Source organism: Homo sapiens, chromosome X (genome assembly GCF_000001405.40).
Source record: "Homo sapiens chromosome X, GRCh38.p14 Primary Assembly".
Classification (NCBI taxonomy): domain Eukaryota; kingdom Metazoa; phylum Chordata; class Mammalia; order Primates; family Hominidae; genus Homo; species Homo sapiens.
In genome coordinates this window covers 13,023,875-13,049,935 of record NC_000023.11, presented here as the reverse complement: position 1 = coordinate 13,049,935, position 26,061 = coordinate 13,023,875, and the positions used below count along the sequence as shown (strand labels likewise).

At 40.0% G+C, this 26,061-nt stretch overlaps 1 protein-coding gene and 1 long non-coding RNA gene across 4 annotated transcripts in view, besides 1 other annotated feature; one reads left to right on the top strand and one right to left on the bottom strand.

The window, feature by feature from the left end:
• LOC105373133 (uncharacterized) overlaps nt 1-5,203 on the bottom strand; it is a 51,063-nt gene extending 45,860 nt beyond the window's left edge. Inside the window, exons 1-2 of the long non-coding RNA NR_171577.1 lie at nt 5,087-5,203; nt 1,731-1,834 (exon numbers count right to left, since the gene is read on the bottom strand). This is a non-coding gene — a long non-coding RNA (uncharacterized LOC105373133). The remainder of the gene's footprint in view (nt 1-1,730; nt 1,835-5,086) is intronic.
• Nucleotides 5,316-14,319, top strand: FAM9C (family with sequence similarity 9 member C). Of its 3 annotated transcripts, none has more exons than NM_174901.6 (8): nt 5,316-5,396; nt 6,079-6,207; nt 6,688-6,808; nt 6,987-7,018; nt 9,064-9,178; nt 10,020-10,128; nt 11,433-11,520; nt 13,918-14,319. In NM_174901.6, exons 2-7 carry the CDS (start codon nt 6,147-6,149, stop codon nt 11,493-11,495), a joined length of 501 nt encoding a protein of 166 aa, NP_777561.1. In that variant the 5' UTR covers nt 5,316-5,396; nt 6,079-6,146; the 3' UTR covers nt 11,496-11,520; nt 13,918-14,319. The 3 variants fall into 3 exon arrangements, with proteins under 3 accessions (NP_777561.1, XP_005274517.1, XP_024308116.2); XM_005274460.4 differs by having other exon boundaries at nt 11,855-14,319; XM_024452348.2 differs by having other exon boundaries at nt 5,316-5,737; nt 11,433-14,319.
• Nucleotides 19,627-19,846: an enhancer, noted in NCBI's record as "active region_29430". NCBI's record gives its function as "activates an Ori minimal core promoter by ATAC-STARR-seq in GM12878 lymphoblastoid cells {active_cell/tissue: GM12878}" and the evidence as "EXISTENCE:reporter gene assay evidence [ECO:0000049][PMID:35858748]".

The following is a 26,061-nucleotide window of genomic DNA, read 5'->3' as shown; positions in this document are numbered from 1 at the left end:
CCTGGGCGACAGAATGACATTCTGCCTCAAAAAAAAAAAAAAAAAAAAAAAAAGGAAACTAATTAATAAAAAAGCTATTTGAAAAGAGTAGGGCAGTGGAATGTAGAGAGGTGACATCCAGGGCCACTGCATGACATTAATAAGCTATAGATGCATTTTCCTTCGTGAAGCCTTTCCTCCACTAAAAAAATAATAATTATATATATAAAATAATACATTAAAAAATTATATTTTGTGACTCTGTTAGTATAAAGATAATATAATCCATACTGAATTATATTAATATTTTCCCTTGTTATTTTTAAGAGAAATTGAAGTAATTTTGTGGTCCCTCAACTCTGTGCCTAAAGGAGAAGTCAGTCCTGTAGATATTGGTCAGATGCTGATAAAAGCACAAAAATTCTTTTTAAGAAATCTAATAATGTCAAATATTTCCCATGTTAAGCTGTTTATCTCTCTTTTAAAGAAAAATATAATGTCTACCAACAAGATTAAAAATGTTGATGTAAGTATCGGAATTATAGTTATCCATATAATATAATATTTGGTGGCACTATTAGATACCAAAATAAGGATGAGAAAATAAATATTGATATGCCCTGTTTGTGCTTTAATAATAAAGTGAAAGTCAGCTATTACTCTTTCGGTTACCACTACAGAACATATCGATCTCAAATAAAAACACTATAGATCTTCCATTCTATAAATCTCTTGAATATGTTGCATCTTATTCCGACTCATTTGATTACTTCATTGGTTCATCCAGCAAGCATTTATTAAGCACAAACCTTATGCCAGGAATTGTGCTAGGTCTGGCAATACTCTGTGTAAGTATGGTACCTTTTATTATAACTGTGACATTTACTGCTATATTAATAGGCCTATTGTTAGATCATTCATAAGTTGCCATTCCCACACAGTTGCCTCAATTATCCATGACAACAAAGATAAGCCATAAGCCATGGTTACAATAATGTGAAAGTGATTGGAACTTCACCTTAAAAGGTATTTTGTGGATCCTTAGTGGGGTGGAGGAGGGTGGGATTACAAGGAAAGGGTACTGGTATGTCTTGTTAATGATTAGGCTTGTATGGCACATCAATTCCATTCTGCAAGAGCAGGAAAGATGAACAATGTGTTAGGCTTGAGTTTCTCAAACAAGGGGTTTTGAGAAACATAGGGCATTATTAATTTTATATTAAGGCAACCTATTAAGGATCTGAGGCAACTCCTTGTCTTGGGCTTGTTGTTAAAGGTTCAAACTCTTAATTAAATGCATGACCTTGTATAATGAGTTTAGTTTTCAAATTTAGAATCTCTCTCCTCTCCCAGATTGCTGGGAGGAACATATGGCCATGTATATAATGTGCCTGGCACAAAGGGAACACTCATTGAATGTCAGCTCTTCATTTGCTGGAGCCAATCCAACATGTAACATCAACAGTTGACTCAGATGTACTCTGGGATAAATTGTTGTGCAGTTGTCTGTCTTACTCAGGGCATGGGCACAGAGTGCAAAAAGGAGATTACTCTAGCTAAGAAAGCCCTAGCTAATCAAACAGTTACCATAGACCACGGTGTGTCAATCTCAACACTGTTGGCATTGGGAGCCAGATAATTCTTTGTGGTGGGGCTGTCCTGTGCATTGTAGGATGTTTAGCAGCATCCCTGGCTTCTACCCACAAGATTCCAGTAGCACCCCCATCCCCAGCTATAAAAACCAAAAATACCTCCAGACATTGCCAACTGTCTCCTGGGTGGGGGGTAAATCGCCTCCAGTTGAGAACACCAACTTAGATGATAACCTTCAGTCCTGGAGACCTGGTAGCTTGTCCTGAGAATCAAAGGAAAGAAGGTGAGTGAAAATGAAATTACCTGGTGGCTTGTAAAGTCCAAACCCTGGAATTCTCAGTGCTGCCTGCACTTTTCTATCATCTGGGGAGATTTCACCGTCCTGAGGCCCAGGCCAAACTCCAACACAGTTAATCAGAAACTTAGTGGGTAGGATGGAGGCAGCAGTGTGTTTTGAAATTTCCTGAGTGATTCCAGGAGACGCCAGGGTGGGGCCCCTCTGCTCTAAGCTGAGATGTAATTCTCAGGACTGGGTGGTAGACTTTGCCATTTGATGAGAGGGTCTGAGCCTATGTCTCTACATGTATGCACAGCATTAATTCACGTATAGCAAACACAGCATTTGCTGACGGCCCACCATGTGCCAGCCATGGCGCTGAGTGCTGGAGAAGCAAAGTTGACAAAGACCTGCCCTTGAAGGAATTATAATCTAATTGGAGAGAGTCTTGAAAAGCCCACTGAGAAGGGCCCTGATAGAGTTTGCACAGAGAAGATCATAGGTGAGGGTATTTGTGCAGAGTACATCAGATAAGCCTTTCTGAAAGACATGAATGTTTTCATTCATTCTTAAACAGCTGGAGCCTAGAATTTGCTGCTTCATTCGAGTATAAACTTTTGCTAAGAGTCTAAGAATTGGAGAAAAGGCTGAAATGTGAATGAACATGAAGCCCTCAAACGTCTGGAGGATTATCAGCAGAGAAACTTCCATCTCCTGTGCTACCAGCCCTGTCTGATAAATGAGCAATTTGATTGGCTATTAGAGCGTAAATCACTAATTCAGGCTACAGAGTATGGATGTATACAGTCTTTAACCCAGTGATCACATCTTAGATTTCTAGATGTTTTCAAAATGAACAATTGTTGTTGCCATTTGATGAGAGGGTCTGAGCCTATGTCTCTACATGTATGCACAGCATACATGTTGTTTTCCAACATTTTATTATTAGAAATTTCAAATACACAGAAAAGTTGAAAGAATTTCATGGAAAACATTCATGTTCCCATCACCTAGATTCTATCATTGACATCTGGCCATACTGTTGTTGCTTATCACATATCTAGCCATCTGTTTGTCCCTCTGTCTGTCTATGAATCCAAGCAGTGCATTTCTTTCAGTTAGTTCTTAATGACAGCAATAGAAGAGTGAGGGCTGCTTTGAAAATTGGTGTTATTTCTACATTTGTTATGAAGCATTATCCTTACTTGTCAGTCAATTCACATAGGGTGGAGTAGGGTGTTGGGGGTAGGAGGGGGTTACACCTCCAGTTATTAGAAACCAATTCTCTAAATTAAAGTACTTATTCTAATAACTCTTGAGAAATCTCCTTTAAATTTGCTTAAACATTTCCTGTGGTCTTTGTAGATAACCTCTAGTGGGAAAAAAAAAAAATTGAAGTGACCATGTTTGCCCTAAAGGCTTTGGTTAGTTCACAAAACCTGTTTCCGCAACCCAGAGTTGCTTCAAATAGACTTCCTCCCTTTACAAAGGCTTAATGATTTGTGTATTGAGTTGTTTCTTTCTGGGAGACATCTCACAAATACTCCAGTTGGGAAAAAGAGATAAATTGCTCCATCCAAAGTTTAAAAGAATTTCTTCAGGGTTTTGTAACTTGGACACTTGGTGTTCTGAAAAGAATGTCTTTGTGCCTATTTAAAATTGCAGAATCCTTTTCAGTTTGTTTCTAGGCTGTTATGCCAAAGAAGTAGCTCTGTAATCCCCATTTGTCTTCACCTGACATCAAATTCCACTTTGTGATGGAGAATTGTTCCTTGATTTGACATTCTTTTAAAGAAAAATGAGCCAGCATTGAATTCTTAGCTGAATACCAGTAGTTGGTGTATGTGTGTATGTGTTTCCAATTATAGACAGAACCTGGTATAGTACTTTCAGCTGAAATCTTTGATGAAGCATATGAAAATTACATTGATCCAGATGGGATAGAAAGCTGTAAGACTGGTTGCACAAAGCCCTCTGCAAGATTTGTCTTCTTTCTTAATGTTACACATCTTAAGCTCGAAAGAGAGAGAAACCTGAAGCAATCATGGCTTAAAATTCCCCAAGATGTCTCATTGGCTAATTTGGGTACCAAGTAGATTGTGGGGAAATGGGGACAGCTGGTGGTATTTAGTGTCAGTAATTAGGGATTCTCTTTAGGTTATAGAGAACTCTTAGATATAAAGGTGAGCTGCCTTGTCAGGGAAAGATGGCTTCCAACCCAGCTGTGGAAATAATCGGGCTGGGCACGATGGCTCAAGCCTGTAACCCCAGCACTTTAGGAGGCTGAGGCGGGCGGATCGCTTGAGCCCAGGAGTTGCAGACCAGCCTGGGCAACATAGTGAGACCTCATCTCTGCAAAAAATAAACAAAATTGGCCAGGAGCGGTGGTTCATGCCTGTAATCCTAGCACTTTGGGAGGCTGAGGCGGGCAGACTGACTGAGCTCAGGAGTTCGAGACCAGCCTGGGCAACACGGTGAAACCCTGTCTCTACTAAAATACAAAAAAAAAAAAAAAAAAATCAGCCAGGCGTGGCGGCGTGCGCCTATAGTCCCAGCTACTTGGGAGGCTGAGGCAGGAGAATTGCTTGAACCAGGGAGGCAGAGGTTGCAGGAAGCCGAGATCGTGCCACTGCACTCCAGCCTGGGGACAGAGTAAGACTCTGTCTCTAAAAATAAATAAATAAATAAAATAAAATTAGCTGGGCATGGTGGGACATGCCTGTAGTCCCAGCTACTTGGGAGGCTGTGGTGGGAGGATCCCTTGAGCGCGGGCAGTTGAGGCTACAGTGAGTAGTGATTACACCATTGCAGCCCAGCCTGGGTGACAGAGCAAGACCCTGTCAAAAAAAAAAAAAAAAAGAAAAAAGAAAAATGAAAGAAAAGAAATGACCACATCATGAGAAATCTAGACATAAAGTCTTTAACTTTGTATATCCACTGCAGAATCATGCAATGCCCAGTGTGAGGGAATGGAGTAGGATAGGAGAAAACTACCTGCCCCTGCTGGGAGTCAACAATTTTCTTAGATAAAACATAAAAGCACAATCCATTGATAAAAAGGATGCAGCTGGGCGTGTTGGAAGCACACAGGACATGGGAGGGAGCCTGGGCTCCACCCGCAGGGTGATGGCCATTCCACCCAAAGGGGCAGGAGTGGCTGGAACGAGCCTGGGGGCAAGGTCCTAGGCCCCGTTCACTTGGCCTCCATTCCTTAGGGCAGGGTCCCCTGGCACTCACCACTCCCGAGTCCTTGCTTCCTTCACCAGGATGAGGAGCTGGAATATCGTGGGGACAGAGGCCTCAGAGAGCCACCCAATGAGTCCACAGCAGCCATGGACAGTCCGTGAGGGGGAGGGTGTGCCTGCAGGGGGCGTGGCCCCATGCCGCCCGCCACCTGCATGCGCACTGGGCCGACCAATCAGCGAGGAGCGCGGGCAGCCGGGGCGGCTGCTGCTCTCGTGAGAACAGAGGACCCAGGCCCTCGGAGGAGCTTCGCGGTGCCAGCCTCTGCAGGTCCTCTGAGGGAGCAACATCAGGGCTCCCTCAGGTGAGACGCCCTCGGTGGGGATGCGGGGAAGGCGGGCCAGAGGCCCTTTGGGGAAGAGGGTGTGAAGGGCGGGGCAGCCAGGCTGATCTGTGAGGAAATGGCCCAGGCATTGTCGCCTGGGGCCTGGGTCAGGGCAGGGAGTTGGAGCTGCCTGAGTGGTCCCCAGGACCCAGGAGGGTCCCGGAGGCCTGTGCATGTGTGCAGCGTTTGGGGGGGGGTCGGGGGGTCAACGTGGGTCCGTCTTGTCTGGCTGCCCATCAGGACGGGATACTTGGGGTCACCAGGGGTCCCCTGGGCGTCCAGGCTGGCGAATGGGCAGTCCCTGCCCCTGTCAGAAACAGGTGCGTACCGGCTCATTCCCATGGAGATGGCTGGGGAGATCCTGTGTCACCCCGCGGCCCTCCCGACTCCACTGGGTCGCTGGGGAACCCAGGGGCAGGGCCAGGCTCTGTCCCAAGGGCACTGCAAGAATCCCGCAGAGGCCGCGGAATTCTGCGAGCTCTGCAGCCAGCCCCGGGGAAGCGCTGGACGGGCCAGGACAGGAGGGGATGATGGCATCTTCTCCGCGTCCCCTCCTGCTCCCACGGGAGACCCGGGGCGCCCTTGAACCTGCGATCCTGATGATTTTCATTTAACACGCCTCGTTTCCTTAGTGTCCTTAGTGTGTCTTTGCACTCACCAGGTTCAGAGGTCGCCTCTAGCTTCCCAGGCCAGTCAGCCACGGAGCCCGTGGGCAGGAAGGGCAGCAGGATGGCTGCCAAGGACCAGTTGGAGGTTCAAGTTATGGCCGCCCAGGAAATGGAGCTTGCAGGTAAACACAGCCCAAGGGGACCTAGAAGAAGGTGCACGCCCAACAGTCTGTCTGCTTTCTGGGCGGGGCGCACATGGGCAGCCCGAGGCCCCCGGCCCCTTCGTGGCTTTGGAGCTCACCGTGCATGTGCTGAGATGCCCCAGGTTTTCAAAGCAGGCTCAAGGGCCTTAGGCTTCCCGTGGGAGGCTCCCCCTCATAGCAGGGTTACAGATGCTCTCAGAGCAGCTCTTCTCCATGGATGCGGTCCTGACATCCAAGGGATCTGACCTGTGAACGTTGTTTACTGGGACTTGAACCCGAAGGGCTTCCAAAAATGCCTCCGTAAAATGGTTAGGAGCCGGCGATTCCATGTATAGCTCTGCGGTAAAGCTTTAATTGGCGGAGAGCCAAAAAAGTCTACAAATAGTACGTTTCTCTATGAAAAATGTCCACAACAGCGTCTTCCTCTAAAAAAGGTTTGTCTTTTTTATTTTAATGCAGGAAAGGATCCAGTAAGTCATGAGCATGAGGAAAGAAAACCTGTTACAGAGACAAAGGAGGGAGATGTAACTGATGAGCATGGGGAAAGAGGATCTTTTGCTGAAACAGATGAACACACGGGGTAAAGTGTTTAAGTCCCTTTTGCCTGTCAGATAAGGTCTTTTAGGAAAAGTCAGCTTTGGATCATGTCATCACTGTTATGTTCTATGCAGAACATTTCACACAAGACATTTCTTCCCAACAAACAAGGCCTTTTGTGTAGCATTATGTTAAAATTGTGTTGCAACTTTTTGTTACAGGGTTGATACCAAGGAGCTAGAAGATATTGCAGGTATGTTTTACGAGCTATTTGTGGTTTATGAAAATTGTTTTCAACCATACAACCCTTACAGTAGGTTATATGAATTAGTGGATGACAAGACTGTCTTAAATGCCTTCTTCTCATATATAGCATTTAATGTAATCTGTTTAATAATTTTTCTTACTTACTTTTTTAATTGTTGATGTGGAATGTGAGAATGCTTCTAATAATGGTGAAGCAAGAGGGGTGGCTTTTCTTTCATACACGTGGAAATTTAATTGTTTGGGGGATATTAGAGGACATTGGAGGAGAAACAGCTCTATTCGTTCCTTTCAGTGTACACACATTAAGTCATATATCAGGTTTTTTTTTAGCTTTTACTTTATGTTTGGGGGTACATGTGCAGGTTCGTTATATAGATAAATTGCGTGTCACAGGGGTTTGGTATACAGATTATTTTGTCACCCAGATTATAAGCATCGTACCTGATGGGTGGTTTTCCATCCTCACCTTCCTCCTACCCTCCAACCTCAAGTAGGCCCAGGTGTGTGTTGTTCACCTCTTCCTGTCCGTATGTACTCAGTTTTTAATATGAGTTTTTCATCTTCCTAATTTAGCTATTGTCACAACTTTCTAATTTTGTTTTCTTTAAAGTACCAGAGAAAATTGAATTCTCTAAAATGATGATTTTCTATTATTATTCCAGTAACAAGCTGTGTAGTAGAAAAGGAAAGACAACTTTTCTACCCAGTGAGAAGCATACAATTGGATCCAAAAACTCATAAACTTTATATTGCCATGTGAAATATTAGTTGCACTGTTATGGGACCATATTTTCAAAAAAGTTTGAGAAAATTTCTGTAGAGATTATGAAGACAATACTCTTATTTTTAAAAAGCTTACTTTAGTTTTCAGCTCTTCTATAGCGATAATTCATATAAGCAGTATATTTGGAAAGCTTTGCTCTGCTTGGTGGTGACAAAGTGCCGGTTTTGTCTAATACAATGAGCATTATAGATGGATACTGTATGTAAAAAAATTTGTATTATGGTGCAGCTCTTTTATGATTGCTCAAAACTATTCTCAGCAATTGATGGTAGATCTCTCATGTGAAACCATGTTTAGGAAAGCATTCCTTGCAGTATTACAGTTTTCTGAAACACTGCACTGTGGATAAAAATGTCATATAAAAAGCTCTCAGAAAATATTTCAAATGTGTTTTGAATGTATTTATCTATTTAAACCTAAATGTTTACACCCATGGACATTGCTTCTTTTATTAAAATATAGTTAATAGCATCAACTATTGATTAAAAATACTTTCTTTATTGTGTATTAAGTTATTTCTACCCTTTTGATGGTCTTATTAAATCAGATACTTTTTTGTGCTTTACATAATGAGTTGTGACAGTATTTCACGGAAACATGTCCTTTGAATTGTAGGACATTTTATAAATGTAGAAATTAAAGTCTGTGGCTGGGCACGGTTGCTCACACCTGTAATCCCAGCACTTTGGGAGGCCGAGGTGGGTGGATCACGAGGTCAGGAGATCAAGACCATCCTGGCTAACACGGTGAAACCCCGTCTCCACTAAAAATATAAAAATTAGCCGGGCGTGGTGGCGGGCGCCTGTAGTCCCAGCTACTCGGGAGGCTAAGGCAGGAGAATGGCGTGAACCCGGGAGGCGGAGGCTGCAGTGAGCCAAGATCGTGCCACAGCACTCCAGCCTGGGTGACAGAGCGAGACTCTGTCTCAAAAAAAAAAAAAAAGAAATTAAAGTCTGTGTTTGTAACCCTTTCTGCACACTTAAAAAATAGAAACTTTTAATTATTTGCTTTTTTTCATTATCTGTCAATTAAGTGATTTGCTGTTATACCAACTGAAATTGGAATACTAATACCTGAAAGGTTTTACATAAAGTAAGTAAATCTTGCTTTTTGAAATGATCTTTGCATTTTACATTTTAAATGTCCTTCTGATATTGCTGAACCATCAAGTCCCATATTGATTTTAATATATGCAAAGAAACTACTTTTCAACATGAACATTTAATGCATATTCATTTACTATCTAGCTGACATTAAAGAGCATCTTGCTGCAAAGAGAAAAAGGATTGAAAAGATTGCAAAAGCTTGCAGCGAAATAAAGAACAGAATTAAAAATGTTTTGAGAACAACACAACTAAAAAGGTATGATTGTTGGCTTTTTTGAATAATGATATTTATATCATTTCTTTGTATTCATTGGTGCAAATAATTTCCAGAACTATCCTGTACATATTGGTGTCTCTAGGGAACAACATATTTTACTTGATTGTTCCCTAAACAGGTAAGTTTCTTTAGTTTTATAACCTCAATTTAACAGAATTGAGAGATATTACCTAGAAGCCAATGAAGATGACCTCTTTTTGCCTTCCAGATAAAAAGTCTTCCTGTAAAATTAATGTTTATCCATTTCTAGAAATACGGTAGGTGAATATAAGATAAATGTCTTCAACGTTTAGTCTGTAGATTCTTAACAATATTCAATTATGTAGAAAGGGATAACCTTGTGTTGTAAATAAGTTATTTATTTTAGTTAAATTGTTTTCACTATTCCTTTTAGATCATTGTCGTGCCAAAGTGGAGAAATAGTTAAGTGAAGTATTTCTTTCGGGAAATCTTACGGGATGAATGGCTATGATATTCTTGCACCTCCTTATGAGAACGCATATGTTATTTAGTAAGAAGAAATGAAAAGTAAACTGCTCTTGGAGAAAAAGATTGTTTCTGGGAAATTTATAGTGCAGTAAACCCTCCTTTGTCTTCAGCAGGTAAAGAATGTAAGATAGCTGCTCTAGTAGTCAGTTAGGAAGGGATCCTTTCAGAATGACAGTAACTCATTTCACCTTTTCCCAAAAAGAAGATTTCAGCTGCTATTACTCCCTTGCTACTTTATAGTACAAACTATGTCAAGTCAGTTTTGGTTTGAATAGGATTAATTTTTCATCCCTCTATGACGTATGACCTTGTTACTTATTATGTGTTACAGGCAGAAACGTGATTATAGAATTTCTCTGAAGTTGCCGAATGTCCTTGAAGAGTTCATCACAGATGAGCAGAAAGATGAGGAAGGAGATGGAGAAAAGGAAGAACAAATTGTTGGTATCAGGCTTAGCTTTATGATTAACCTATTGTATCAATGTCTCAGGTAGTAATAGTTCATGCAGAAATCCAGCAAAGAAGGAAGAGAGCATGAGCCCAGAGAGGGTCGCCCATTAGTGGACTCATGGACTAGGGGAATATAATTGCCATGCAGCATTAGGGGTCCAACTGAAGTCAGCATCATAGCGATGAAGAAGTTAAAGTGAACTCAGTTGGCATATTTGTGCAAGAGCAGCTGTAGGGTTGGAATTTCCTGGGTTGGGGTGTAGCCGAGCATGTTGATAGAGGGAGAGTTGGACAGGGCATAGAGGCAGGGATGGGGTTATGATGACTGGCTGTGGAATTTCAGCTGGGGCTGAGTTACCTGAGCACATGGGGGTGGGGCATTGGGCAGTGAAAAGTGCTCCATTCAATAGGCGTCAGGTCCCTACAGACTCCTGAGCTGTAGTACTGAAGTGAGTGACCTACAGTGGCAGGAAGGTAGTGGCTGTATGTTGGGAAGATGGAGAAACAGATGAGTGCAGTGGTCAAGGGCTGCGACTCTGGAGCCCCACTGCTTGGGATCCAATTCCAGTTTGACCATTGCTAGTTCAGGAACCATGGGCATATTATTTATCTCTGTGCTAAAGTTACTTTATATACGAAAGGAGACATGGTGAGGGTACCTATTTCAGAGTTGTTTGGAGGATTAAAGGGTTCCTGTGTAACAGGTTTATTTAAATTTTTCAGGATGCGATCTGACCCATGGTTGCTGTTTATCATTGCTATTATTAATATTATGTAGATACTGCAGTCACTGGGAATGACAAAATTTAGGGGATGACTGTGAGTGCCACGTAGAGGAGAGGAGAACACTATTGTTGGAGATTAGGTCAAGGTGCAGAAAGGCAATCATTAATGGAAGGTTTATCTATGTACATATTGAAATGACCAAGATTTAACAGGTGTTTAAAATCTTAGTAAGAAAGAATGTTTCTTAGTTAATTTCTGTATAGATCTTACCTATCTGTGGTCAACAAATTATAGGAAGGGTCATCAAATACTCTTCATTTGAAATCAAGAATTAAGACGTATGTGTTGAATATGTATAAGAAAGAAAATTCTTTACTCCATGACTGATGAAAAAGGTTATTGTTTTAGCACATGAGTGGTGAACACAATTGTTTCAAATTGGTCATAAACGTTGTCTAAAAGAAAGTGTTCAGAAGTATTGATTTAAAGAGTATTTCTTTAATGCAGAATGTTTTATAAGTATTAAAATTTACCCAATTTTAATCACTTTTTTGTTTTGTGCCTCTAGAAAATATTTCAAGAGCAACAAAAGAGGTGGCAACAAGATGGGAAAGGAACTGAAAGAGATTGAGCCACCACACGAGCAATTCACAAAGGTCTGTTCTATTTGGTAACACAATACGTTCTTATAAAATACAACACATGCATAAAAATAGAAGACAATCTGCTTGTTTCTGAATGTATGGAAAGACATTTTGGTTATACATTTTAAATTACTTACCATTTTCACTTTGAATGTGTTGTTCCAGATTTAACATAAGTAGTAAATAACATAAAATAACATAAAACAGTATTTTTAGGATTCATGAATAGTTTTGTAGGAGTTATTTAGAACAGGAAAAGGTAAATTGGAAATTTTACCTAGAAATATACATCTTGTGTATAAAAATTGATACCTTATGAACACATTAATGAAGACTTTATTTTCAGTTTTTAGGAGATCAGCGACAAATCTTTAGTGGAAGGCAGAAAGTCCATAAGTCCTTTCTGGATGTCTTTTTTACTTGTGTTGTTTCAAGAGTTTTAGTTAAATAGGAAGTAGGCAAATGTAACTACTGAGTATCTCTTTTGTTTTCTGCTGTAATGTAGGAGTGTTTTATGGCATATTCACTTTCAAAATTATTAGTGACTAGTAATGGTTTTACATGACAATTTGTAATCATAAGAGATGGTTCAGATGTATAACAGAATGGGAAAGCCAGCAGATTATTAACATGTTGTGAATTGTGAATTATCTGCTGTCGTACAGCACATTAGCAAATTGTCATCGGACAATGACCGCTTCTTCATGTAGATGTATATTATTTAGGAAGCAATGGAATTCCCTTCTGGGAGGTAAGATATTCTTTTTAATAACCTTGTGGAAAGACATGTTCATATGTCACTCCTCTACACTAACTGAGATGTGTTAAATAAACTGGGAAAAGAGTTTGAAAATAGAATTTTCAAGCAACTCAAAGATTATCTATACACAAAACGGTTATTTATATAGAAGTCACAAGTAGAGAACATGTTGCTATAATGTTCCCCAGAAACCATTTATTAATTGGTATGAACATGAGACTAGAAAAGTTTTCCTGTCAATGTTAATGCTACATGTTACCACTTAGGGTAGGAACTTCGGTATCATCTTGGACTCTTCTGAGTCCATTATCTTTCACATACAGTTTTCATGAGGCAAGTTTTACTCTGCAATGGTCCTTAAATTTCTTTTTTTTAAATTGCCACTGAGGCAACCCTAGTTCAAGAACTCATTCTTCCTTGCTTGTACTATTAAACTCTTTTCTGAGTTCTCTCTTCTCTTCTGAGCCACCCTTCATTGATCAGAAATACTATCTTCCTAAAACTCTTCCCTTCCTAAAATGCTTCTAGCCCTTCACTCTTCCCAGCCTATCAGTGGTATCCACATGTCAGTTCTTAGATATTCAGAGACTCTCCCCTTTACATGACCCCCTCTTAGGCTTGTTTTACTGCCTTCTGTCTTTCTTCCCGCCTCTCCAGGTTGACAGCCTTCTCTGAACGACCTCTCCATTACTCTCATGCTTTGCTCATGCTCTTCCCTCACAATGCTTTTAAAGTCCTTTTTTTTTTTTGATCGATTGAAATCTTTTGCCAACTAAGTGGACATCAGTCTCCATTTTTGGCTACATGTCCGAGTGAGTTGCTCTTCCACAGCAGTTACATAAGTTTTGTATTATTTTTTTTATTCGTGCATATTTGCTCATGTCACAGGAATATGGAAGAGATTGTGTATTCATTTTTTACATCTTCCTCAGCATTAACATACCACTTTTTAGGGAGTAGGAACTGTTGAACTATTTGTTGAGAGAATAGTATATATTTCAAACATAGTTATGTTTTCTCTAACTTGATGAGGTCATGTCACAGACCATTTTATCCCTTCAGTGGAAACCATGTTATGTCGACTATTAGTGATAACAAATGGGTCACTATCTGGTGAAAAAATATGGTATTTCATGATCTAAGACTACCAGTCTTTTTCTGTTTTTGCTCCATCTTGACCATAACATATTCATCAAACCATTTTCTTCAAGCAAAGTACATGACTGTTGGACCTGCTATAATAATATTTCACTAAAATCTGGCATTAAAAATTTTAAGTATTTGGAGCTCCATGTACTGATTACAGTTTTTAAATTTGAAATAAATGACCAGCATCCTTTGAATATTAAAAGCTGTTTCCTTTTGACATTTAATTTACTCTCTTTAAAATGTGAGTTGTAAAGTGATGGTTTGTCAGTGAACTAGACTTTTTGTTTTAGAGTGTGAGGACTTGGAAGAGTATAATGAAAGCCCTCTTTTTGGTGAAGAGAGTCAACTTAAAAAATAAATTGCCATGTTCCAAAATAATATTGTGGTAATTGTAAGTAGTGCATATTTTATCTTAAAAACTCAGGATTGATGTAAGCACTGGAATATTTTATTTGTAGAAATGTGTATCGCAATTACTTAAATTTATTTTTTTGAAACAGCTGCAGCAAGAGTTGGCACTTATTCAGATGTATCTTCAACCTCTGTTATTCTGGTGACTGACAAAAGAACTTGAACCTATGTTATATGATACATGCATAACTTGAGCTACACTAAACCACATGACAGTGTTTAGTTAATTCTTGTATAAATTAGTATATCTCTTCTATTATTAGTCTGTTTGTTAAATGCCAGACCACGTTTCTATGATCTGTTGAATGAACCCTAGACAGTTCTGTGAGAAAGCAGCAATTGCACAGTTACATACACAGTCAATTAAATTTTAACATTAAAGATAATTTAGTTTTAGGTTTGGCCTCTGTGGATCTGTATCAGTTCCAAAATGTGGAAAGCACGGGCATGGAAAAGTACATTTTTCTCTAATAAAAGAAGACAAACCCTTATTTTATCTGTGCATTCTTTGTATTTACTCATTAAGTTAAAGAAGCAATTCCAATGAAAGCAAGACTTCAAAAAATAGATAAACTCTGTGGCCTTTCAAAATTATTAAAAGTACCTTAACATCTGTGTTCTTGAAAAAATTAAACTACTATAAATGATTGAGACAACTGAGCAAGATATATTAATATCAGTGCTGAGCCACCGGCTTCTGGGTATGTCATTTCCACAGACATCAAATTGCCATTTGGTTTGTTTTGGTCCACCATTCAGTGATATCTCCCCTTAACATTGATTCAAAGTATTTTATTAACATTTATGTATGCTTACAATTATTTCACATCTGTGGCAAGGTAAATTATGTAGGGTGCTTTGTTTTTCGAGTTTAGTATTTGTGGAGTATGTGGAAGTTTAAGTATACATGCATCTAAAAACTTAAGTGATGAATTCTCCTACCTTTCCTTTTGTAATGTGCAGTTGTTACATGTAACAACATACAAAATGTTCATTTGGAAACACTTTATTTAGTAAATATGAAATTCAGAATATATTTGGAGTAAGTCAGTTAAATGTATTCTTTTGCTGAGTTTCTGAAATTCCATTCATGAATTGTTCAAAACACAATACTCCCATTGGGAGGAGAGGAGCGACTTCCTCTCATTTTTCCTTGTGCTTTTTATTTTAATTGGCCCCTATATACCACTCTTGTTTTTCTAGGTTTTCCAAGTTTAAGAAAAAAAGAAAAACAAGTTCATTCAGATTCTGTTTTTCTGCCTGCAATCACTTATGCAGGAATAAGTGAGTCCTTATGGGGAGCATTTAATTCCTAAAGTTTGCATTTTCATAAAGGATTTTCCTTTTACCCAAAGCATGTGTTGGTGTATAAGTCTAACTACTACTTCAAGTTTCTAAGAAGATCCTCATTTGAGATCTGCAGAGGTCCATATGAGAGTTCTATTATACACACTGGGCTATATAACGGTTTATTCCATAGTGGAAGGACAAGAATTAGGACACAATGTACTTAGTGATGAAACAGTTGATATTTATGCCACCCCTTACCACCTCAAATGAGTAAAGGTGTACTTTAAGTCACTTTGGCAGATATTCTGAAGGGAAGAAAGTTTTTGTCCTTAAAAGTTATTAGGGGTGTGTGTATGTGTGTGTATAAATGTGTATATATATGTGTGTGTGTGTGTGTTTATGTATATATGCATTCCACGTATCTATACATATATAATATGCATATACGTATATGTGAATATATGCACACACATACACATATATATGACTTTATTTTTTAGAATTGTTTTTAGTTCACAACAAATTGATCTGAAGGTCTAGAGATTTCTCATTTACCCCCTGTTCTCCTACCATAGCCTTCCCCACTATCCATATCCCCCACCAGAGTGGTGCCTTTCTTACACCCCATGAACTTACATTGACATATCATTATCACCCCAAGTCCATAGATTACTTCACTGTTCACTCTTGGTTCCTTTTTTTTTTAGTGACTATTTTTCTCACATCACCTGTGCTATAGTCCCTGTTTTATTTTTCATAAAGAGAACATTTAATTTGTACTTTTTTGTGACCATGAAATTTTAGGTTAGAATATCAGAAACAAGTCACACTAAAACAAATGTAAAGATTCACTTTTCTCCCGAAAATGGTAAGACAGATAACATTTATTTATATATGCTTGAAACGTTGCAGTTAGTGCTTTTAAATTCTAGATTGAAGCACATATTTTCTTTTGTTCCATAATAAACGCCCCCTTTGAAGAATGGCTGATATCAAGAGCATCATGTCTCGTAATACTGTCTCACTCAACAGCTGAATGTTGAAATGTACACTCACAAAACACTAAATATATCCTTAGAACAATGATGTACTGAACAAAATTCAGAGTTCAAACGCAAAGACAGCTCCCAAGAAAGTTTTCCCACAGACCAGTGGCAAGTCCTTTCCTTCAGCAACTGAAACCCAGGAGATACAGAGTCTCTTGCCTCTGCCTCTTGGAGAGGGTTTCTTTTGATACCAGAGGGAAAGGGCCATCTCATCTCCCTGATGTTAGTTAAAATTTCATCTTGGATTGATGGGTTAATATCTTTGTAAAGATATCTAAATTAAGGTGATCCAGTCAAATCAGAAATACTTGACTCACTCCTTAGGAGGAGCTTAACTCTGCCCTGAATTTCTGTGCACACACCTCATTTATTGCACTCACAGTACATAAGCTCTGAGATGTAAAATTGAACCAGAACCAGACAGCGCATTGCATTCTTATCCAAGTGAATCAGGGCTCTCTCAGCGCTGCTCACCCAAAACACATTGAAATCAATTCTTTTTATTCTTATTTATTTGTAAAACAGACAGTGATGATGGTATCTGTGTCAGAGGGTTACTGTGAGTGTCAGAGGAAACAATGATGGTGAGAAGGTTAGACACATGGTACATGTTGAATAAATGTTAGCTATTAGTTATCAATATCTTCATGATTTTTATTGATATGTAATAGTTGTAAATACATATGGGGTACATGTGATATTTTGATTCATGAATATGTAAAGATCATATCAGGGTAGTTGGGATATTCATCATCTCAAACTTTTATCATTTTTTGTGCCGAGAACATTGCAAATCTCATCTAGGTATTTTGAAATACAGGATAACTGTAGTTACTCGAGTGTGCTATTGAACACTAGAGCTTATTTCTTCTCTCTAACTGTATGTTTATACCCATTGTCCAGCATTTCTTTTTCCCTGACATCCCTCCTACCATTTCCAGCCTCTGGTAACCACCATTCTACTCACTACCTCCCTGAGATCAATTGTGTCCAGGAACGAATAGCAAGTAAGTGGTAAAGATGGACTAGTTGATAGTTAATAACCATGACTGGCCTATTCTTTGTCTGCTGTACTTTCTTTCCTCTATGTGTGGCAAGTGCCTGCTGCTTACTCTTTTAAGACTTGTGTCAAAGACCACCTAATTCTTTACCTTTTCTGGAATCTGTTAGTTCTCAAACAAAATTGTGTCCCTTTTCCTCTCTTTTAGTGGTTGTGTACCTCTCAAACCCCATATTGTGGCTGTTATTTACTTAACTGTTACCCTTGAGAGTAAAAATTTTATCATAGTCCCAGTCTTATTTTTGGAACCTGGTGTGTTCCCACCCATACAAGAGGTGCACAATACACATGTACTAAATAAATGAATGATCGGTCATTTGAAAGAACACTGAATACACAGCAATTCTCCAATCTCTGTGTTTATGCAAACACAAGAATTAATTTTATTTGCCTAATTCAAACATTACCTTTAAATTTATTCAAAATTCCCATTTTCCATGAATTAACCAGACATCCTTTGTTGGTACATTTTCACTAATTAACCAGTTAAATATATTTTGCCTTATATCACTTTAAAAGAGCATATGGAACAAAATCAGACAGCTTAGGTAGTTATGTCTCTTGAGCTCACTATTTTAAGGAGTGAAGTTCACCCTGCCACTTGCCTACCTGTCTCAGTACTCATACGCTTGCATCGATGTCCTGCTAATGTACATTAAATCAGATATCCATACCTGCTTTGAAGTGTGCCCTAGTCAACAAACAGGTCACTTGGTTATCATTATCTTCCATCCAGGATCAAGATAAAATAAGTGCCAGAGAAAGATGTCTTACAGAGATTCTCTCAATGTATTAGTTACACATAAACAAATTAGTTACTGGAGCACACATTCCTATCTTTTAGAAAGAGAAGACCTGTTAATAGTTGAGAGCGAAGAAAATCAATTCTTGTTGAACCAATAAATGTCCCTTCTGGATAGTTTACGTTGCCATTAAAGCATAAAGTTGCCATTTTAATCTGTCAGCTGCTTATTTCTTGCATGAGCTATTCTGGCTTTCTAAATCATATCTTTTGGCCAGGCACAGGGGCTTATGCCTGTAATCCCAGCACTTTGGGAGGCCAAGGCGGGCGGATCACTTGAGGTCAGGAGTTTGAGACCAGCCTGGCCAACATGGTGAAACCCTGTCTCTACCCAGAATATAAAAAATTAGCTGGGTGTGGTGACACACGCCTGTAATCCCAGCTACTGGGGAGGCTGAGGCAGGAGAATCACTTGAACCCGGGAGGCGGAGGTTGCAGTGAACCGAGATTGTGCCACTGCACTCCAGCCTGGCGACAGAGTGAGACTCCGTCTCAACAAAATAAATAAAAATAAATCATATTTTTGGTCATTTGCCAAGTGCTTGGCTGTTGGGTACACACGGAATAAATTATCCAGTAAAAAACATCTCAGATCTTTCCAGCTATTTTTGATCAGGTACACCTGTAAATCTTAAAAAGCCTGTAAAGAAATACCTAAATAATACATTGGATATAAGACATAGGACAATAGTAACTGAAGGAAATTGCAATCGTTAGGGGGGAAAATCCTTAAAGGCTTAAAATTCTACTAGGTGGTAACCACTGTTTATACACACATGCATTTCCCTCTTCATATTTGGGAAACTGATGGTCGTGTTTCCTTTTTAGGGTGGAAGAAAAAATTCTCCATTAAGAGAAGGGAAGGAAAATATAGGAAAAAGAACCATTCTTTGAAGGCACCTGTTGTCCAAATCATAAGGAAGAGCTTGTAGTTCTGAGTTGCACAAAGGTGCTTTAGTTGTTTTTCTGTAGGATACTAGAGGAGGTCAAATGTTATGTGATAGCTGTGTCCTCAGACCCAGTGTAGGAGATGGGTAAAAAATGTTGATTGGATAAATGTGTTACTTTGCTAGTTCATACCTCTCTGAACCTGTCTTGAAGCCGCTGTGGGGAAAATGTCTCCATCTTTTCTTTGTTCTGTCGCCATTCAATCTATTCATCTACTGCTTGAGAATGTTTTTGCAATAACAAATCTTTGAGGTTTGGAAACCAGCTGTGATTAGTTTAAGAACTCTTGGTCCCACCCAATTTCAGCCTGTGCTGGGGTGTCTATTTCCTTTGTAAATTAAGGCTGCCTCCCGCTCTGGGAGCTGACTGGTTGTGCCCTGTGTTTCACTGGAGCCCCTGTCTGTTCTTTGGCTCACCTTCCCCCGCCCTTCCTTATTTGTAAAGCCCTGAAGGAGGCAAGTTTCCTTTGAATGTCATTAACACTTTGTAATTAGCTAGGAAGCCAAGGAGAATACCAAATGTCCCTTTCCCACCATGGGGCAAACTGTTTTGTTTTCTCTTCTGAACCCCAAGCAGGAACTGGCTAAGATATGATGGCCCCTCTACACGAAGAGTGACTGATTTCATTGGGAAGTGAAATTTGCATGACACCATCAGAAGCTCTTGACCCGTCAGACTCAGAACTCAGCAAGCTTTTCTTTCCCATTAATCCATGGTTAATGCCTTTGTGCTGCATAGTTTATTCAGTCCACAGCTCCCTCCTCAAACATAAACCACTAAAGGACCATGGATTCACAGGAATGACAATAAGACTACTGAGAGGCAGAGAGCGGAAAGCCCCGGGGCTTTGGTGTCAGGCAGACCCAGGTTCAGGAGGAAGCAGGGATAACATATACTTTTTTTTTTAAGTCAGGTTGTGAGGTATAATTTACATATAGTAAATTTCCCCCTAAGGCGTGGCATTTGGAATTGCACTTCTTTATAATCCATGGAGGAAATTGCACTGAGTTCAGAGCCAGGAAACATGGATCTTGCTCCCATCCCCCCAGCCATTGTCAATGAATAGTTCTGAACTCTGCATCATCTGTAAAATATGTGAGTTGAACTAGGTGACAGTGAGGTCCCCTCTGCATTATAAGAAGTCTGTTGTTTTATATTTTAAATGAATGAAACAAACAAAATAACTTGTCTTCCCAAAAGATATTCAAGAATCTCATGATTGAAGTTCACTGTTGAAATAACTTAAGTTTCTTGTACAGTTCAGACTTTTATTTTTACAGTTGCTGCTGGAAGAATTTCTAAGCATGTTGGGATAAACAGTTCCCACCCGCTGATCCTAAACTAACCAGTGTCCCTTGCTCCCCACCCCGGGTCACCCTAGTCCTCCAGTCGGCTGAGGCAGTGGGAACAGGAAATCAAGTCTCTCAGAAAGTTCAGGCTGCCTTGAATGGCTGCCAGATCACCCTGGAGGAGAAGCTCCGGAGGCAGGCGGGGAAGCCTCCCCTCCTCTGGTTACAGAAACTCTCTCCTTACACTCCTCTCTTAAATCTACCTAAACTTAAATGCAAAAACATTTCTGCAGAGAAGAAAGTGCCCAACATTCTCTGGTTATGGATTGGGGGCCCTGTTTTATCAGTTTTTGAGCAAGGTATTTTGGCTTGATTGAACTTTCAGATTGCTCTAGCCTTGTCTCTCCTCCCCCAAACCAAACAAATGAGTGCTTGGAATGAGTGAAGCACATACATTCCTGGATCCAGATTGATATCTGGAACTGGAATGTGACATTTACCAGTGTAATGTGCTGAGATTTAAGTTTGTGGAGAGTATTCTTCCCAGGTAAACCTCTGTGGCCTCACTCCTGCAGTTGGGGGAGAAGAATGTGGCAGCCACTTTCTGGCCTTTCTCCTGCAGGTGAGCACAAAAGCTTAAGACATACACACCTGCAGGGGATGTAGGGGAGTGTTCAGTGGAAGGATGACCTCATTCCCTAATACCTGACCATTCATGGCAGCCTCCGTTTCTTTGAAGTCCTGTTGGAAGTTGATTTCCATGGGGCTTTTATAAGTGTGACTGAGAAAACCATGCCAAAGTCTACACTCAGTCCAATTTGCAGGAGCTGTTTGGAATCCGGGCTGCATTGTTAGGATGATGCCTGTTGGCTCTTCAGCCTGTTCTATTATGTCTAAATCACATGTGTTGGCTTCTAACATACTAATAATTTTTGCTTTTATTGTGTTTGCCACATGTCTCCTCTCATTAGAATGTGAGGGATGCATGTCTCTTTTCTTTATTATTGTATCCCCAGTGCCTAGCACCGTGCCTGGGACCTAGTAAGGGCTTAATTGATATTTGCTGAATGACTTAATGAACAAATGAATGAATGACCCCCAATAGAATCCTCTCGAAGAGATGTTCATTTTTGAACCAAATCCTTGAATAAATTCATATAAATATTTAGTGAGTCTATGATGTGAGTTAAACAAAAAGTACAGAATAAAGAAATAGGATAAGAATGTGTCAACTGACTAATCTCTCCAGGGAAGTAATAACTGAGCACCAAAAAATAAGCTACATGAAACACCACTACTCAGGAATAAAAATAAATGAAATATTGACACTTAAGACAACATGATGACTCTTAAAATTATTATGCTGCATGAAAGAGGCTAGACTCAAAAGATCTGCTGGGTGATTTCATTTATATAAAATTGAGTCTATAAAATATAATCTATAGTCACAGAAAGTAGATCAGTAGTTGCCCGGGTACTGGGAGCGGAGAGGGAGGGATTACCAAGAGGCATGAGGAAGTTTTAGGGATGATAGATAAGTTGATCATCCTGATTGTGGCGACAGTTTTACAGATGTGTGTATACATCAAAACTCACCATATTGCACATTTTAAACAGGTGCAGTTTATTGTTTGTCAGTGATGCCTCAATAAAGCTGAAGACTGCAAAAACAGTACATTTTAATGCATCAATCAAGAACTACCCTTTGAGTGCCCAACAGGCAGTCAAACTATTTTGATTCTCGCTTTCCTTTTCTGTACCTCATCAGTATCTCAGCAGAATTAATTAAGTAGGCACTCAATGAACTGGTGTTATGAAGTGCATTTATGCTTGTTGTGATACATCTTAAGTTTTTATTTCAGAAGCAAAAGTACCATCACCATGATCCATAGACCTTTTGCGTTATAACCAACTTCTCTATCTCTATTTTCCCTAGGATAATTGCTTTGCATTGTTTTATTATTTATTCTACAAGCATTTATTGTACTTTATGTTTATGAATTATTTTTCAATTTCCTCTGATCTCTTTCAAATTCTGATACTGTCTTGCAAGATGCTAAGTACTCAACTCCCACCCTTCCAACTCCTATCCTCTTCTCTTAATAAGCTTAATATCTAGCAAGCAGGTTTTCTCTCCCAACATATAAGTCACTGGTAAAATGATGAAGAACACCAGACCCATGAAGGAAGATGAGGGGGAATTTCCAAGGCTGTTTACTAAGAAAGCAAACCTCTGTCATTGAGATCCTGTAGGTTTGCCCCAAGTAGGGGTTACAATCTAAAAAGAGTGTCAGTTTCCACTGGCTTTCCTCTTGTTTTCCACCTAACTAATGAACTCGCTTCAGCTCAGGGTGAAGGGATATACCAGAAGCAGGACGAAGTGCTTAAAGTGAGAAGATACATGAAATGTTAATCTTCGCTTGACATAAACCCATCTCATTTTTCTACTTGGCATTCTGTGTAGGCTTCACCTTTTCTCCAGATGGTGCAGTCAATTGTGTTTGGGCCATTCTCACATGCATTGTGGTTTCCTAGTTCACACTCGTGGTTGTTTCATGACCTGATATGCCAGTGAACTATCTTCCTTTTAAGATATAGTTGGGCCACATTTTCATTGCCCCTACATCCTTACTTTTTAAATATTGTATGTGAAATCATCTCCCTCTAGTGAGCCTAGCGAAGCCATGACTATTTAAGGAGACAGCATAAGCTCTACACTATAGAGTCGTAGGTTTGAGTCCCGGCCTTGAAATCTTCTAGACGTCAGGATTGCTGATGATCTCACAGCCAGTTTTTCTATCTGCAAATCAGGGCTGATAATACCAACCTGCATTTCTTAAAACGTAGAATTTTATTGATGCTAACTCATATTTTTTATCTTATTTTTAAAATGAATGTCTTTCCTGTGGACCAACCCATATTTTATACAAACATCAAGAATAAGCCATGTCCAATGCTGAGGAATGGCTGAGCAGAGGGTTCCACTCAGTCTCACTGGTAGAATGAGTTTAGTTGCTTGCCTTTGGGAAGATCCTAACTTCTTAATTTCAGCGGTAGTTTTATTTGTGCTTTTGGTTTTGGGTTTTTCTTTCTTTCTTTCCTCTTCCACTTGGATGTGTTACCAAGCCTAAAGGGTCTTGTTGGAGAGAGAAGTAAATCTCAGATGTTGTACTGCTATTGATCTAATTACACAGAAGAACTCTGGGGTCTGTTAGGCATTTTATTAATTGTATTTAATCTAAGACAATGGGGAAGTCTGGTGGTTTCCTTGGAAATACCCAAGTTCAGATATTTAGGTCATTGATTTTCTGCAGCTTTCTTACAGGAAATTAAACATGTGTCCAAGTGATTGAAGTCATGTATTCAAGTCAGCTTTTGCATCCCTCCAATCACTAACTAATAACCTAACTGGTACTTTATGGTTGTCAACCACTAACTAATAACCTAACTAGAACTTTATGATTGTAAGTACTGCAGTCCAGGTTGAATTGGCTTTGTAGATAAAATGGCTTTCTATGTTTATTCCTACAAAGATCTTTCTCTCTCTCTCTCTCTCTCTCTCTCTCTCTCTCTCTCTCATATTTTTATAGAATGGTGTACAACTATGATCTGCTGAAGATAGCAAGAGTGACTCTTATTATCTCCTGTACTATGATCTGTGCATCTTTTCATTGTTGAGAAGAAAATTCTTAAGCCACAGTGAGAGGGTGGAACAAGCTCCATTTCCTGACAATCCATACTCTCTCCTAATTGTGGCTAGACAAGGGACAGAGAAGACCACTTTTTATTCTGGTTACCAGACCCACTCCCAGCACCCATGATGTCATGCCAATCAAGTTTTATTTTTACACATACACACATACACATATGAACATACAGAGTTCTAAATTATTTTCAAACACCAATCAACCTTCATAAATGACCACCCACATAGGAGTTCAGAAAGTCTTCTTTTGCAACAGAAAGAAGATCACCCACTAGTGGACGTGACAGCAGGTTGAGATCAGAAGGAATGGAAAACTCATTAGCTGCCTATTGAATTCAAAGGAAAACAGGTACTTCCCTCTGATGTACATGCATAGGAGATCAGTTAGTTCCGTTTCATGTGTAAACACCAACTGGCTGTGCTCATGGTAAGACTGGAAACAGGCACAGGCCATCCTCCTGTTCTCCCCTGGAGGGGGAGGAAAAGAGAACAATTTGGATGAAATGTGGAAAGAGTGAAGGGAGGAGAAAAAAGGAAAGACTGACAATGAGTGTACTGGAAGGGACATGATAGGTCCCTTAAGAGAATGCCCTATATTAAGGATATGGGGTGTGAAACAGGAAAACTGCTGGCGTGGTAAACAGCTGGCTAAGCCCCCTGAACCGGGTGGATATATTTGCTTTTGTCTAGTTGTCCAGCACTGCTCAGTGAATCATAGGGACCTCCAGGGCATTGTAAACTGTTTCCTATCATGCAGGGTGTTCACACCTTCCCTTCATATGGGACCTGCAGGCCCATTCTTTATCAGCTATGGGGAAAGGAAGTTGTTTGTCATGACTTCAGATATACTCCAGACTTCTCTTTCCTCTGAAGTTCTGCAATTCCAAGATTCCAGATAGGTTGTGGCATGGAAACCAGCATGAAGGAGCCCACAGAACTACCAGGAAGGAGAATAGGGAGGAGTCGTTGGGAAGAGACAAATGGTACCGGGGCTGGTTGAGGCTCTGTCTACACAACAAAATAATTGGCTAAAAAGGGAAAGACGCGCCAGGCGCGGTGGCTCATGCCTGTAATCCCAGCACTTTGGGAGGCGGGCGGATCACAAGGTCAGGAGATCGAGACCGTCCTGGCTAACACAGTGAAACCCCGTCTCTACTAAAAATACAAAAATTAGCCGGGCGTGGCGGCGTGTGCCTGTAGTCCCAGCTGCTGAGGAGGCTGAGGCAGGAGAATGGCGTGAACCCGGGAGGCGGAGCTTGCAGTGAGCCGAGATTGCGCTACTGTACTCCAGCCTGGGCGAAAGAGCGAGACTCCGTCTCAAAAAAAATAATAATAATAATAAAAATAAAAAAATAAAAAAGTGAAAATAAAAAGGGAAAGACTCATTCAGTTAAAAGCCTATTATTGTGTTTACTTGACACCAAATCCCTGCTTTGACTGACTTCCCTTCCCTTCCGCTGAGCTGTTATTGGACTGAATTGATCCATTGTGGCTTCAGCATAGAAAAAGCTTCAAAGCAGAATTTGTGTAGGGAGTCAAGTCATGGAAATGTGATGCCCAAAATAATATGGTATCAGGAGATGAGTGAGAATTGGAACAGTTTATGGAAGGTCGAAAGCAAAACTGAAAATAGGAGTCTTAACTCCAGGGCTGGTTCCCCGGTCTCAGTTTAGTACATCCTGATCATGTCCAGGTTAAAGTGCAGATTGGCCTCATAATTTTAGAATCCTTGAAAGCTGGCAAGTCCTGTTCCAAGGAATTATCCGTTTCAGGTAAACAAGCTGTTATTCTCCCAGGGATATTTCCTTTCAAATTACTCTTATCTTTTCCCTTGGCCAAAGGGCAGGACAGCAGTAACACTAAAGCAAAGCAACACAAGAGCATGGAATCAGCAGCCCAGGCCTTCTCTCAGTGCCCTTGGTGCACTCAGTACCCACGGCTCTTCAGTCCCTGCCCTCCCTTGCTAATCCATCATCTCCACCTGTTCCTGGACTGGGTCTCCCTGTCTATGTTTTTGGTGTAGGGCCTCTTTCCTAATCCTGCTAGAAGAGTGATAGTTCTAAAATGATCATAATAGTCACACTATGCTATT